This window comes from Homo sapiens, chromosome 11 (assembly GCF_000001405.40).
Source record: "Homo sapiens chromosome 11, GRCh38.p14 Primary Assembly".
Classification (NCBI taxonomy): Eukaryota; Metazoa; Chordata; class Mammalia; order Primates; family Hominidae; genus Homo; species Homo sapiens.
The window spans coordinates 36,416,316-36,432,007 of NC_000011.10; the positions used below are offsets into that span (position 1 = coordinate 36,416,316).

General features: G+C 44.0%; 1 protein-coding gene across 4 annotated transcripts in view; it reads left to right on the forward strand.

The window, feature by feature from the left end:
- PRR5L (proline rich 5 like) overlaps nucleotides 1-15,692 on the forward strand; it is a 168,917-nt gene that overhangs the window by 120,028 nt on the left and 33,197 nt on the right. For all 4 annotated transcript variants that reach the window (NM_001160167.2, NM_024841.5, NM_001160168.2 and 1 more), the window contains 2 exons: nucleotides 2,940-2,988; nucleotides 15,538-15,595. In NM_001160167.2, the coding sequence (NP_001153639.1) occupies nucleotides 2,940-2,988; nucleotides 15,538-15,595 (107 nt within the window). The remainder of the gene's footprint in view (nucleotides 1-2,939; nucleotides 2,989-15,537; nucleotides 15,596-15,692) is intronic.

Below are 15,692 nucleotides of genomic sequence, written 5' to 3' on the forward strand. Positions count from 1 at the left end.
ATTATTAAGAAAGGTCTTTTCTGTTCAGATAATTCTATGAACAGTACCTAGTGGAGAAGGTTTTGCATTCTGGATTTTATAAAAGGACAAGTGTGTGGTTCTCCTACTGTACCTGGCTATGGCCCATTACATTTAAAGTATATAAAGCAGATTACCACATCGTGTCTGGTTCCTCCTCAGTAAAGAAATGGTTATCACTATCAGCATGGCGAAAGGCCCCTCTTCATGTTCTACTTCTTTATTCCTAACCATTACCATCTCATCCCCCCTGTTACAGCTGCTTCTAGCTTCAGAGTCCTTTCTGCTAAGTCTTTGTCTTGGAAGTTGCATTGTCTGCTCTTTAGCTTCTGCTCTGTTATTGGCTGATTTCTACCTAGACTTTTCTCTTCCTGGGACACTCTGCAGAATTCTGGCCTTGGCTGTGGCTTGCTGCACCCTAGCTGCAATGTAAGGCTGCTGTGCTTCCACCCTCCCTGTAGAGTGAAGCCCCTTCGTGCCCTCCCTGATAGGAGGGGAGGAGATGTCTTGGATTCCTCAACTGGGTAGCATCAGGATGCTTTTCTGCATCCCGCTGTGAGATGCCTGGGGCAACCTTTACTTGTTCAGTCATATCTAGCCCAAACTCACAATTATTACACCATCATAGATCCCTCCTCCGTGCTGCTCTCCAGGAGTGTGTCCATAGTTTTTTATTTTGAAGTCCCCCTTAACCCCGACCTTTTTCTTTTTCAATCTTACCCATGGCATCTTCATGAGCATAGTGTTTTCCCACTGTGGGTTCCTTGGGACACCAATTCCACAGCGTATTATTTGATCTCAGAAGCACATTAGTCCCTCAGCATCATGAGTACCCAAGATATCTCCTTGGGAAGCTCTCTCCTAAGTAGCCTATCAGTAGGACTTGTTTTTCCACTTGTGCGCAAAGCTTGGCTTCTTCACCTATGGTTTTGAGACTTCCCAAGGATGACGAAGACTTTGTTAGGAGGTGTTTCTCCCTCCTGTGGTCAGAAGCAATCTCCTTACCTCTTCCTGTTTCAAAGCCTCCGTCCACTTGGGGCTGCCCCATAGGTTGCTGTTTCCTGTCTGAGAGACATGTCTAGCCTCTGCCTCAAAGACTAGTGATGCCCAACCCGCTCTTAGTCCAGTGGCTTTTGATGAAGGCTTCCCTCTCGGATCAGACCTGCCCACATCTGAGAGAACTCCTGGGTTGTGTTGACAGGGTGGCCCTCCATGAGACTGCCTTTAAATTGGCCCTCAAAATGCAGCATCCACAACAGACAAATATTCTGTCATGGGAAAAGGAAGGTATTTTCTTTGTTCAACGTGTGTTTGTGGCTTTCCAGGGCTTTTTCTGCTACAGTAATTCAAATCATGGGTGGTTCTCTATTCTTTTGTCTTAATTTTATTGTGCCTGTTTTCTCTGCACATAACATCTTGCTGTAACCTCCTGTTTATCCTTCAGTGACATGAGTGAACGTGTTTTGGGGGAGTGAATACTCAGCAAGCGTCGTCAGAAACTTGAGCATTTGCTCCTTAATAGCCATAGCCAATGGGATGAGCAAAGAAAGTCATTTGAAATCATGAAGGGTTTACTCACTGGATCTGGGGAGCCAGTTATTCTTGCTTTTTGTTCCCTTACCTTGTCTGGATCAAAATAAAGAATAGTATGGATAGTTCCATTATTTGTCACAGGGAAAAGGAGAGCTGGTGTCAATATCCCTATTTTCCATTTGTATTTTATTAGCACTTAAGATTCGTTGAAATCATCTTGTGAGTATATTTATTAACGTGCTATCTATCCATCAGCCCCCAAGAAGAGAGCAGAGACCTTGTCTGTCTCATTCACCTTTGAACTCCTTGTGCTAGAACAACGTGTAACACATAAAGAGCTGCTCAATACATCTTCGTTGCTGGATAAATAAAATCTCTCTATTGTCCCTGCTGTGGTCCCCTTGGAAGACTGCCTCAGTCCATTGGGCATGGGTTGTAAGACCACCCAAACCATGGTACCAAGTTGAATTTTAAGTTAGGGTGAGGGGAGGGGGTTCTGGATTTGGAGGAGAGACAGGGTGGAGTTATGGGAAAAGATGTTGAATTTGCAGAAAGTCTGGGTTCACATCTTGGCTCTGCCACTGACTTATTTTGGGGAACTCTCTGAGGCATAATTTTAAAAATCTGTACAGGAAGAATAATAATTACTACTACCCGCGGTGGCTCACACCTGTAATCCCAGCACTTTGGGAGGCCGAGGCGGGCGGATCACGAGGTCAGGAGATCGAGACCATCCTGGCTAACATGGTGAAACTCTGTCTCTACTAAAAATACAAAAAATTAGCCGGGCATGGTGGCGGGCGCCTGTGGTCCCAGCTACTCGGGAGGCTGAGGCAGGAGAATTGCATGAACCCAGGAGGCGGAGCTTGCAGTGAGCCAAGATTGCGCCACTGCACTCCAGCCTGGGAGACAGAGCGAGACTCTGTCTCAAAAAAATAATAATAATAAATAATTACTCCTACCCCACCCCACATACATTTTATAATCCTTAGTTGAAGAATGTATGAAAAATGTGTTTTAAACTATAAAGTGCTCTGCAAATGTGGAGGAGTGCAAAATGATGATCTTTCTCTTCCTTCTTTTTGCTTCATATAAAGTCAGGTGCCCTGGCCTGCCCCTACCAGCTCTGCTAGAATTAGGATTTCCTTTGGCCAGCTGCCCTCTTCACAGTGCTACTTTCTCAGAGTGAACTGAGGAACGCATCTCCTTCTAGGCTTCCCATCACTGCAATTCCATGATAACAATGGGGGAAGGGGGACCAGGACCTAAGAAAGTGCCCTCAAGATCTCAGACCTGGCCCCACCCCGTGCCACTGGTGAGCACATTGTCACCATGAGCTGTACCATCAAGGGCTGCTTGACGGTGTTTCTCTTCTCCCTTCTCCCCAGGCGGCTGTTGAAGAGTGAACTTGGATCATTCATTACAGACTATTTTCAGGTAAGCTGTGTGGATCTGAGCATCCATCATTATCATGCATGTGGGGGCATGGACCTAAAAGGGGTGGCCAATACTGTACAGTTGGACATTCCTTCAACAGACAAAATTACGTATCTCAAGTCCCTGCTGTGTGCTGCACGTTGCAGAGGGGCACCACTCCTGTGTCTCCCAGCAGTTAATGGAGATCACAGTCTCATGCAGCAGTTCTCAGGCATTTTGGTCTCAGGACCCCTTTACACTCGTAAAACGTATTGCTTATTTGGGTTATGTCTATCTTTACCATAATAGAAATTAAACCTGAAGAGCTTTAAAATATGTCTTAATGTATTTAAGTAATAAGCCTATTACATACTAGTGCTAATTACATTTTTATGAAAAACAACTCAGAATAAAATAGAAAGGAGATCTCTGCATTGTCTGGCTTCATAGAAGACAGTTGGATTCTTATATCTGCTTCACTTTCAATTTGTAATGATATTGCATGCCACGTAGTTTTGGGAAAATTCCACTGTAAACTCGTGGAGAATGTAAGGGAAAAAAACAAATAGCTTAGTATTACCGAGAAAATAGTTTTGACCATGGGGATCCCTTGAAAGAGTTTGGGTAGTGGGGGTCCCCCAGGGGACCCTGAATCATACCACATCTGGATCCATTGTCTGGATCAGTCAGACTTCTCCCCTGTCTATACATTGTTGGTATAAAGCTAGTGAGTTTAAGGTTCCAGGACCAATCAGAGGATAGTTTCTAATTCACAGACGCAAGCTGTTTTCATGACTCTAACCAAAGGCATATGGTGGAGAGGGAATGGGGAGTGTTGAGTGACAAGGAGTCACTGACTGGACGGCACCTTAGTGAAGTCAGAATCCCTACTTCTCACTCATTTGCTGAGTGGGCAAGCTGTTTCACCTCCCTGTGCCTCAGTTTCCTCATCTGCGAAATGGGACTAAAAATACAACTTACCTTAAAAGTTTATTATATGCTTTATGTGAAATAACACATGTAAAGCACTCTGTACGTAGTGTGTAGGGGGGCAGTATAGGGTAGTGGTCAAGATCACAGCCTTTAGAGGCAGAGTGCTTGGGTTCAGTGCCCAGCATAGCCACTTACTAGCTATGTGACCTTGAGCAAGTTGCTTTACCTCTCTGTATTTCCTTTTCTGTGAAACAGCAGTAATAGGACCAAACCTTATAGGGTTGTCGTGAAGACTAAATAAGTTATTTATAAAAAGTGCTCAGTGACTAGCAGAGAGTAAGACAGTAATAAGTGCTTATTAAGTTTATATAAGTGCCTATGTGTTATTCTAAGGTGTAATCCATCTCTTTTAATGGGAAAGTAGCATGAAATGCCTAACATCTTGGTTTCAAGTTAGCAATGTTATTCTGTGTCCAAATAGAGCATACTTTTAAGACAGTTTAAAGAGATTTTAGGTTTTGAAAACAGTACAGGCATCCTTTTATAATTTTTCTTTATGAGATTCAGGAAGCTTAAACTTTTATGTGCACTTTAAAAGAATGACATGTCAGTTGTTTAAACACACACACACACACACACACACACACACACACACACACACACGGACAGCTCCTCTAAATCTGGACAAACCAAGACCCAACAGAAGCCTGGAATTCAATCGGGTCATATGTCTCAGCTGCTTGGAAGACAGCTCCTGTTCAGGGAGAGACAAACATAAAGATTAAGAGAGAGATAATTAGTCACAAATGTGAATCATTTCAGTCACCCTTGACTCAAAGGTCAGTCTTGGCCTCACTCTCTTCTCTTGCTGTCTCTACTGATTGATTTTTTTTAAAGCTAACTACAGAGAAGTGGTTTTTCAGTCAGTCCTGGAGAAACCTGCTGGGTTGAATTGCCTTCCTCCTTGACATTTAAAAGCTCCATGGTTTGGTGTGGTTTCAATCAGGTTTTAAATGTCATTTGTCTTTTGGTGCTGGGGGTTACCCCTAGGACAGATAGGAAAGGGTGTTTGGGTGGGGACTTGTTTATCTGGGAAGCCTTGAGGTTTTTGGGGGCGGTTAATACTGCTTACGAAGCATGCCAGATGCTTAACAACTAATAACCACTTGTCATTTCCTACCGGGAACATAATCAGAAATGCTGCTTTGTGAATACAGAATCTCTTGCTGGGGTGTGGGGCGAGAACTAGTTTTCACAGTTTTAAATCGAAGTTTATTTAAGGTGCTGATCTGGAAAGAAGGCTCTCCTAGATACAGTTTTGTTTTTTTCTTTTTTTAATAGATTTTAAGTGTCATGTGGGCACACAGCTTTTTTTTCTTTCTTTTTTAGTCTTTTGGTTCCCCACTCCCTACAAAGTTCCTGGAACAAAGTAGATACTCAGTAAACCTTCCTGGGAGAGAGGGAGGGATTTTCTGCCACAGATCACTGAAATGATTTTAGGCGATGCGTGCAATGACATTAAATAACATTAGGGCTTGTGGTTAGAAACTGCTCTCCTCTTTTATTTTCCTTTCGCCCTTGGGATTGTGCTAGAGAGGATCTTGAGTTGTACCATGGTGTCCTCTCCCCTCCTCCAGGACTTGGAAATCTCCCTCGTTTGAAGAAGGAGGAGCAGTCCTCGAACTTAGTGTCTTCAGCTAGGGATGCTGACTAGTTAGGATTTCTTAACATTATTTTGTTGGCATTGAGTTGATCATTGAGTTCCATTCCACTTAGTGTAAATTATGTTGCTGTGGTTTCTGTTTTAAACGTATTTACTTGTTTAAAAAGTGGATTGATATAAGAAAAATAGTATGCAAAGAATAATCATGTAGGTGGCCCTGGCTCTGGCCCTAGTCATGCAGGTGGTTCAACAGAGACTCAGATTTGGAAAGCCCATTACCAGGCACTGCTTAAAAATGGGCTGGTTTCAAACCATTCACTTTACAGAAGAAATCTCCATATAAGGAGACACGTCCCAGAGGGAAGGCTTGTAGAGGCGAGCTTAGCCTTCACATTTGACTGTCAGATGTCGTTTCAGGAGGGAAAGTCAGGAGGAACTCCAGAAAGTGTGTTCCTCCAGTAAAGGGGCAGAAGGAAGGCCTGGAGACAGATGAGGAATGGAACCCAGGGGTGGACAGGAAAGTCACCAAAACCATGGACCTGGCTGTTGGGAAAGGTGAAAGATGGGCTTCCTGGGTGCTGGGCTCTGCATTGCAGAGGCTCAGATGGCCATGCCTAGACATCTGCATTCAGCAGTCAAGTCTGTCTCCTCACCCTGACCCCCAACTCTGAGCTTGCCACTCATACAGCCCTTTCTGTGGCTCTGCTTTTGAAAGCGAACATTCTCATTTACATTCTGTGAGTCTTAACACAGAATGTCCTGAGTGGGGAATAATGAAAATGACCCCAGGTGAGGCCAAGAGAAAGCAGGTAGGAAAATTGTGCTTATCTCATGCCTGCACACAGAGAAGACAAGCTGTGTGATCTGCAGAAGCCCAGCTACACGTCCATAAGGCACTGGCTGGAAAAGTCTCTGACATTTCCAGTATTGATTTTTTTCCCTTTCCCTCTGTTTTGAATTGTGTCCGGAAGGAAAATTGGGGTTTCCGAGAGAAACACTATATACTAGTAACAGCTCTGAGGGATAATTGGTTTCTTGTAATTTTTGAAACTGATGATATGAAACGTTCTGGATTTTCCTATTTACCTCATTAGGTATCTTGGTGGTTCAGAGCATGGGTGTGTTTGCAGATTGCACTTTCTGCTATTCTGTATCTACTGGCTTTGTTTTGTGTGTTATAAGCTTTTGCCCCAAGCCCAGAAAGTTCAATTCCTTTTGTTGGAACTGGAGTTTTGCTTGATATAGAAACTCAGGCTAGAGTCAGTGGCTTTGAATGGGTTAATACTAGGAAGAGAGGAAACTTAGCTACTACCGTTGTCAATAGGTCATGGATACCTGGTAATGTGTGAGATACATTTGTGTGCATGTATGTGTACGTGTGTGTGCATGTATGCATATATATGTATTTTTCCATTTGCTGCTCATATCTGCAAGAGTCCCAGGAGGCCAGTTTCCCCTAGAGTTTACAGCATATGGCAGAGAGCTGAAGGAGTGTAGCGTTAACTGAAGACCCGGATGGATGGCAAAGAGTTTAAATCAGGCCCAGAAAAGGCAATTATACTTTGTTGGGACAAAGGTAGGACTTCTAAGGATTCACGGCAAGCTGGATGGAGAGAAGATCAAGAGTGGTGAAGGTAACTTTTGTGATTTCTAAATCCAAATTGAGGAGGAGAGAGAAGTTTCAGCTGTTCTTTGATCAGCTGGACAGGCTCCTCTAACAAGCAGGACTCCCAAAATGGAAAAAGAGCTAATTGGGTGAACAGAAAGTAGTAAAAGGAATTCCACATACACTCTGCTTTGAAGGTAAAATTGGGGCCTATCTACACAGGGGGGCTTTGAACAAGTGGAGCGGGGATCTGGTGAGAAGACAGAGGAGAAGTTATGTTTTTAGGTGAGAGGTCATCAGAGGTTGCATTTTTTGATTTGGCCAGTACTTAGAGAAGAACAGCACTGTGGAATCTATAAGCTTTGGGGTGGCCTAGAAGCTCCCACTGGCCACTGTGAGGGGCGAGAATGAGGGGGAGCCAGACTGGGGGCTTCGAGAAGCACCCCTGGGTGTCTTGGGCTACTCGCTGTGGGGCTCGCTGCCTGTCAGAGGTCACCTCTCAGCAGCTTTGCCATTCTTAATCTCCTTAGCAATTATTTGAATTTTGTACAATTAGTTGAATACTTTGATTGTACTTTTATCATACTTTATGAGTCTCCGTGGAAAAAAATGGATCTTGACATTGATGACCACAGGTCTTAATATAATTGAGATAAAGATGAAAATCAATAGGCTTGCAGAAGTGGCAAATCTTTATCCTCATTGGACTCAGGTTATTGCACATCAGTTGTGGAAGAAAGGAACACATGGGTACCAAAGGCTGAAAATATATCACCCGAAAATGAGCTCTGAAGATGAGGTGTAATTAGGGATTTTATAATCCTTTCAAGCTCTATGAGGACAGAATTCCTCCTAAATCATGGAAGTGTGGTATTCTACACAAGTATGTATTTGCAAGAACTCATTATATATGGAATTTGGTGATTTACTGTAGAAGAGAAAGGAATGGCAGGAGCCAGGCTTAGGGCATTGATGGGGGAGGCATAAAAGGTAGGAGCAGATGCTGGAAACAACGTGGTATTAAAATAGTGGAAACACTCAGTGATTCAGTGGGCATGAGAAGTAGAAACTGAGTTGGAAGCGTCGGGAAATTTTTGTTCAATATGGAAAGCAATAAGGTGACTTTCTCTGAGGCTCTTGAAGAGCTATAAGGAGAACAGAATTAATGATAATGGTAGTGACGGCTAACATTTTCAAGCACGTACATGCTGGGCATTGTTGTAAGCTGAAGGTTCTCAAAGTATGGTCCCCGAACCAGGAGCTTCAGTATCAGCTGGGAATCTGTTAGAGAAGCAAAGTTTAATGGATTCAGAAACTCTGGGGTTAGGGCCCAAGTGATCTGTTTTTTTTTTTTTAGACAAAGTCTTGCTCTTGTCACCCAGGCTGGAGTGCAATGGCACGATCTTGGCTCAATGCAACCTCCGCCTCCCGGATTCAAGTGATTCTCCTGGCTCAGCTTCCTGAGTAGTTGGGATTACAGGCGCACCCCACCATGCCTAGCTAATTTTTGTAATTTTAGTAGAGACAGAGTTTCACCATATTGGTCAGGCTGGTCTCGAACTCCTGACCTCAGGTGATCCACCCGCCTCGGCCTCCCAAAGTGCTGGGATTACAGGTGTGAGCCACCGCCCCCAGCCACAATCTGCGTTTTGATGAGTCCTGCATGATTGTGAGGCACGCTCAAGTCTGGCAATGCTTTCAGCATTTCCCCTGGGCTAACTCATTTATTCCTCCTGATAACTGATGAGGACGGTTCTGTTATTACATATCCCTCTTTTACAGATGCTGCCACTGAGGCTCAGAGATGGGGGTTATTTGTCTAAGATACAAATACATACAGCTAGTAAATGGTGGCATGAAGACCCAGCCCAGGTCATCTGGCCACAGAAGAAAAATCTCTTGGATTATATTTAAAATGCCCTCAAGGAATCTCCAGGAAAAAACCCAAAAACCCAGGCAGGAGGAGTTCCAGGGTTACTTTATTTGTTGTTGTTTTCGTTTTGCATGTTCAGCAAGTCAGACATGGACTGTCTTCCTTCTTCCTTATAAACATAACCTTTTTAAGGCCCCAATGCACGCTTTAACTATGGCTGAAACAGTGCTAAATGAAGAATTAGCATTAGCACCGAATTTCCACTTCTTCAATCTCCATCTGGGGACTTCTCGCGGGTCTCATCACACCCACACACACCAACATTGGCTTATTAGGAACTCTCTGGGCCTGGGAGTAAGTTGTGTTTGTAAGACTTTGTTGTTTATCTAGGAAGGCATCCAGGTTCACAGGAGATGTGCACATCATTAGAGGTGATGGCTGGCCTTTCAAAGTCATAGAGGAAAAAAAAAAACTGGAAGTGGCCTATAATTTGCAGCCCTGGGTTTATGCCAACAACAGGAACCTTCTAAGACATTGATATCACCAGAAGCAAATGTCTGGAGTGAAACTGGTTAACACAGGTTCTGGGAAGGCAGAGCAACACAGCTGCCACCCCTCTGGGGTAGGAAAGAATATCTCACTTGGAAATGGAATCCACTCGAGTGCCAGGCACTCCCCTTGCTAGATGTTGAATGTGGATAGTCGAGAGGAAGGCCCAGCTGGGTGGAGGCCCTGTGGCAGAACCCAGTTACATGGCCTGAGATTGCCAAGCCAACTGCCCCAGTATCTGAATCTGTAATGGATCCCATCTGCTTTCTCCTCTGGGCAAGGACATAGGACACCTCTCTAAGGCAGGAGAGCATGATGTCTAAAAGCACCAGCCCTTCTGCCAGTAGGTCTGGGTTCTAATCTTTGTTAGAACACTTACTAATCTAATCTTCTAATCTTTGTTAGAACACTTCTAATCTTTGTTAGAACACTTACTTTGTTAGAACACTTACCTCAGCCTCGTTACTTAGTCTCTCTGATGCTCAGTTTTCTTAATAGTAATCCAGGTGGAATCATGGGAACTACTTCATATGGTTGATGTGGTTACTAAGTGAGATGACGTACACAAAGTGCCTGATTACATAGTGAGCAGTCAACAAGGTATAAGTATTTGTATCAGTATTTTTATTACTATTGCTAAGTAAACCAGAAGAATATAATAGGGGAAAGATATGGGCTTTGGATTCAGACCAACCTTGGTGCAAAGTCTGGTCTCACACTTGCTAGTTGCTTCTTTGAGCCTCAAGTTCTTTATTTGCAAAAAGTGGATAGGTTGTGGCGAAAGTAAAATGTGAGAAGGCAGGAAAAGACTGTAAGACAGTGTCTGACACTGAGTAAAAACCAATAACTGACTCCACTGACATTCTTACTGCATTGTCATCACCACTAAAACATTAAAAGGGACGGTAGCTAGCAGCCTTAGTGTTTACAGAATTCCTGCTTCCTGGTCTGTGTGGAAAGTTCTTCCTGCTGGGAAGATGGGGTTCTCCCTGTACCTAGCCTTCTTGGTTATCCGTCTCATCTGGGTCCATCCCACCGGGTTGTGAAGGTGCCTGCTTGGCAGGAGGCATGCATCATTGGTAGCCCCACACCACCCATGGCCACCCTCTGCTCTGTTCTGCCCACCTTTCCAACCCACCCTCTGTGATGACCCGGGAGGAGCTGGGTCTTTCCTGTCCACTGAAGACTGGGTGGTTTTAGACGCCTTTCCCCAAACATCTTGTTTACATTTTTCCTAGCTAAGCCTCATTTTTCTGTTTGCAGCCCGTTTTTCTATGTCTTAGGAAAATTAGATACGTCAGCTGTTTTTCTTTTTCACTTCCATCTCCTTTGCCACTTCATTATAGTGCGACTTGACTGTGTCCAAGTTCATTTATGGGGTGGGGAGAGGATGCATTAAGTAACAATGGGCCCAGTTCCAAGTCCCAAGTTGCTTCCTGGGTGGTTACTATTTAGTAACCATTTTTGGCTTAGTCTTCTGCCTGGGGAGGTGGTGGGGTTGGTGCCATCAGGCAAGGAGTGGGACAAGAGAAACTTGGGTCATCTCCAGCTCTGTTACCATACAGCTCCATCACTACAGCTCAGCAGCCAGCAAACACTCAGAAACTTCTGGAGTCAGGCATTGGTCAGGGGATGGGAATACTGTGAGGTGAGGTCCAGGAAGACTGGACACTTAGGAAGAACAAACAATGCAAGATGGCTGCCTGAAACCCAAGGCTGGGTTTCGCCCCGCCTTCAACCCATTTGAGCAGGCTTAAGCCCCACAGATGTCAAGTTGGCCTATCTTTAGGTGAAGTGACAGGGTGAGCTTCATAATTTGCAGAGCCCAGTGCAGAAGGAACATGTGGGTACTCAGCATTCTGTGCAAGAATCCTGAATGCCATTCTTCTCACCACCTCTAATGTCAACACTGGTGTCCCTGGCTTCTTCTAAAACAACTCTACTCACCAGACTGGTGTGGGGATGCCAATCTCCCCTTCCCACTGGCCTGCCACTGCAGCTCATAGTGGGCAGGTAACCCCAAGAGATTGCACATCTGCACTGGGCACTCTTGGTACCTAGATGGAGAGTGGGCGAGAGGTCCCCATTGAGTCAGCAGCAATTGCACTGCAGCACTGCCAGTCCAGGGAGTGCAGGATGGCTGGCACTATGCCTCTCCCCACAACATTGCAGGGTGCATGCCAAGTCCTGACTCTCCCTGTACCGGTGCGGAGGCCTCCACCAACATGACTCTGTCAGCACCTTGGGAGTAGGGTGACATTGGTGGTGGAGCCCAGGCACCAGGGGTGAGGTGTAGGTGCCTGAAAATCCCTCCTGGGGAGGTGGTGAGGAGGCAGGGCCATGGGTGAGCTGGGGCTTTAGACCCCAGTGCATGTTCTGTTATCCCTTCAGACTTCACTTATAAAACATAAATTCAAAGATAAAAATACTAAGAATCAACTGCAGAGCACCCAACTGCAAGTGGAGGCCTTCAGAGTACAAGGGCCTTAAGAATGCAAGACCCTTTGGGGCTCCAATTCTCTAGAGAGGAGATTTGGGGTTCAGTTTGAGACCCATTAGCAAAGCTGGAAGATGCAGCTGTGGCTCGGTTGTTGGAGCATGAATGGATGGGCACAGCTCCATTGGGTGGATGGCAGTGGTTCCCCAGTGAAGAGAGTCCTGGGGCTTGGCTAACTCAAAAGATCCTTACTCTGATAGTGTGTGCTGAATAAAACATGAGTAGTAGAGAGACTGAGCCTCACTCTCATGTCTTTTATTGGAATTTTGGAGAGGGAGACCCTACTTCTAGCCTCGGTTTATACAGCTATAAGATAAGAGCAAAATCTACAGACTCCTGGGGGCAGGGGGTTATATAAGGATTTTCAAGATGCCTTTGAAAGGTACTTTAGCCTCCTGGAAAATGGAAATGGATCTACTAAATATCATCAAAATGTGTGTGACCAATTGATTTTGACTGTAGGACTGGGGAGAGGAGAGAATGTATAGATGATTCTTAAGACCCCTTCTAACCTCAAGTTTGTGTTTCTCTTATTTTGGTCTAAGCTATAGAATTTCCATGCTGTGTATTGTGACAAATTTTAAAAGAGTATTTTCTTTATCATTTCTCCATAATATAGGAATAATTACTTTTCCTTGAAAATATATAAAAAAGATTTTTTTTCCTAAGGTCTCCTTGAAGGGAGAAGACCTAGAAAGGAGAAGAAAGGAAAATCCAGGCCATGATTTGAGGTTTATTCCATAAGATATGGACAATGTAATTTTCAAATGATTTTCTAATTCAAATGAAGAAAATGGCAACAAACTTAGGGACCCTATAGCACTTATTCTTCTTTAAAATATTCTGTCTTTTATCTTGGCTTCTTAAAAATAAAAAATCTTTATCACTAAAATAGCCAGTATATATATTCAGTAAATATTTATTAGGCACCTACTATGTTCTAGGTACTATACCAGGAGCCAAGGGTACTAACTAAAATGAGATATGGTCCTCACTCCTAAGGACCTAAAATTCTAACAAATGAATGGTTTGAATTAATTTCTGTTAACTCATGCTATCACCTGGACTAGGTTTTCATTTCTGTCCATGCCTCAGTTCCCCCTATCCTCCCCCCATGTAGATAATTATAGTGATAGAACAAAATGATGAAAATTGAATCACAGAGGCGATCTCTATTACCTCTATAGGTGCATCTCAGAAATGTGAAATTAGGGAGGGTTAGGAAAGTTGTTTTAATAGAAGCCTGGAACATCAGTGTTGACACTAGATGTGCTGAGAAGAATGACATTTAGGAGCCCATGCACAGAATGCTAAGGGGACGTTCTGAGAACCTCACCTGGACTAGGTGAAAGGGACCAACCAGGTGGAGACTGCAGGGCACAAATGAGATTTGTGCTAAGAAGCATTCAGGTGGAGTGGTTGCCATCTGAACACACCTCCACAGACCACTCATGTCCAGCTCAGCTGTCACAAGATGTCGATTTGGTGCTGATGTATTTTCTTGCTTTCTGACCCAGAAAGTCTTGCCATGACCCAGCTGGGATTCATGAACTTGGCTGGAAGCTAAAGAACAGGTTAGGGCTTTGTCTTTATTGCCTGTGTGTTTCACAATTCTTTGTGAAGGAATTGCTTTTTTTTTTCCTTTAACAAAGTTGGTGTATTCCTATATGGTGTCACTGTAACTTTGATTTGGTGTTCTATCTGCCATCTTGAAACTACATGGTGGCTGGGTGTGGTGTCTCACACCTGTAATCCCAACACTTTGGGAGGCCGAGGTGGGCAGATCACTTAAGGTCAAAAGTTCGAGACCAGCCTGGCCAACATGGTGAAACCCCGTCTCTACCAAAAAAGTACAAAAATTAGCTGGGCATGGTGGCTGGTGCCTGTAATCCCATCTACACAGGAGGCTGAGGTGGGAGAATTGCGTGAACCTGGGAGACAGAGGTTGCAGTGAGCCAAGATCCCACTACTGCACTCCAGCCTGGGTGACAGATCAAGACTCCATCTCAAAAGAAAGAACTACCTGATGACCAGTTACTTTTTCAAATTAGGTCATATTTTGTAAATCTTAATAGGAGTATGAATTTGGTTAATGTGTATCCATCACAGAAATGGGATAGTACCTTTGATAAAATGTTCTATTAGTACATTTTATAAAGGCCCATTCACTACTGACTCTCAGCCTCCCACTCCTTTTTTGAAGAAGTTGGGCTGAGATAGCAGCTATTACTATTCCTACCACCAGTGCTGATTACTAAGGACATAAAATACTGTGTGTATGTGTTTATAATGATTAATGTGTTTATAATGATTATAATGAAGAATGTTATGGTATTGCTAGTATTATGCCATTTTACATATGAGGAGCTTGGGACTCAGGGAAATTAAATACAAAATCGCACAGCTAGAATGTAGCTGAGCTGGAACTTGAACTGATACCCAAGTTCTTTCCACTCTGCTCCATATGCTTCTTTTATCATTGCAGTAGGATCTAGGGTTTTATAATGGAGAAGGCTAAAGAATGCATTAGGTACTTTGGTAAGATACATATCACCTTTGCAGCTGCCTCTCCCATAATCATAGGCCTGGGTAATCTAATAATATGACATGAGTGTAAAGACACCAGCCCGTCATTGATCTCTGAGCTTCTGTGACTTGCAGAAGTCTTAGGGGGCCAACTATAGCCTTTCAAGGGAAGAAAGGGGTCTGGGTGGGAAGACTTGCTGGAAGGCAGCGAAGTGGAGTGGAAAGAACATGGCTTACAGACCCAGGAAGACCAGGTCTGTCTGCCTTGAGCAGTCTCTTCACTAACCATCAGTAAAGTGAGGACAGTAGCACCAACTTGATAGGATTGAATTAAATGAGATGAAGGATATAAATCTTATGATGTAGACAGGACGCTCAACAATTGTTAGTTGCAGTTGCAAGAGGACTTTACTTTCTCTTTCCACAATTTCCCATGCACACATTCATTGACAGATGCATATTCACTGCTGCTTAAGATTTTGCACGCAGTCTCTTTCATGCTAGTGTGAGAAGCCCTAAATTTATCTTTTTTTTTAAAAAAAAATATGTTATTTCTGCATAGTTTCCCATTGCCTCAATGCTTCCTTTTGTGAGTTTAGATCACTAAGGGCCTCTAGGACACTGGGTGTCAACAATAGCGAATTCATCCCAAGTTTGTGTCATGCCTCTTCCCTCGTCTGAGGGATGAGGGTGGCGGTTGGGTTTGCCTCTTATCTCACTCGTTCTTTTGCTATGGGAAGTCTCACTGTCTTCTCCGGAAGCCTTAACCTTCCAAGAGGAAAAAAGGCTTCTTAAACTCCGAGGCACGGCTAGAACACAAGTGCCTAGAACTCTGTGCCCTTGCCCACTGGAAGTGGAAGAGGGTTCATCACTTACGCTCTGGAGTTGTCCAAATTCTTATGTTCTTTGTTCTCTTTTGGCAGAACCAGCTTCTTGCAAAAGGACTGTTCTTTGTGGAGGAGAAGATCAAGCTGTGTGAAGGCAAGTACAAGACAGCCCTGGTAGACTGGGGCCTCTGTGACTCAGTCTTTGATGTCTGGACGGCTGAGATGCTTCTGTCCAGAAGGGGCAGGCTCCA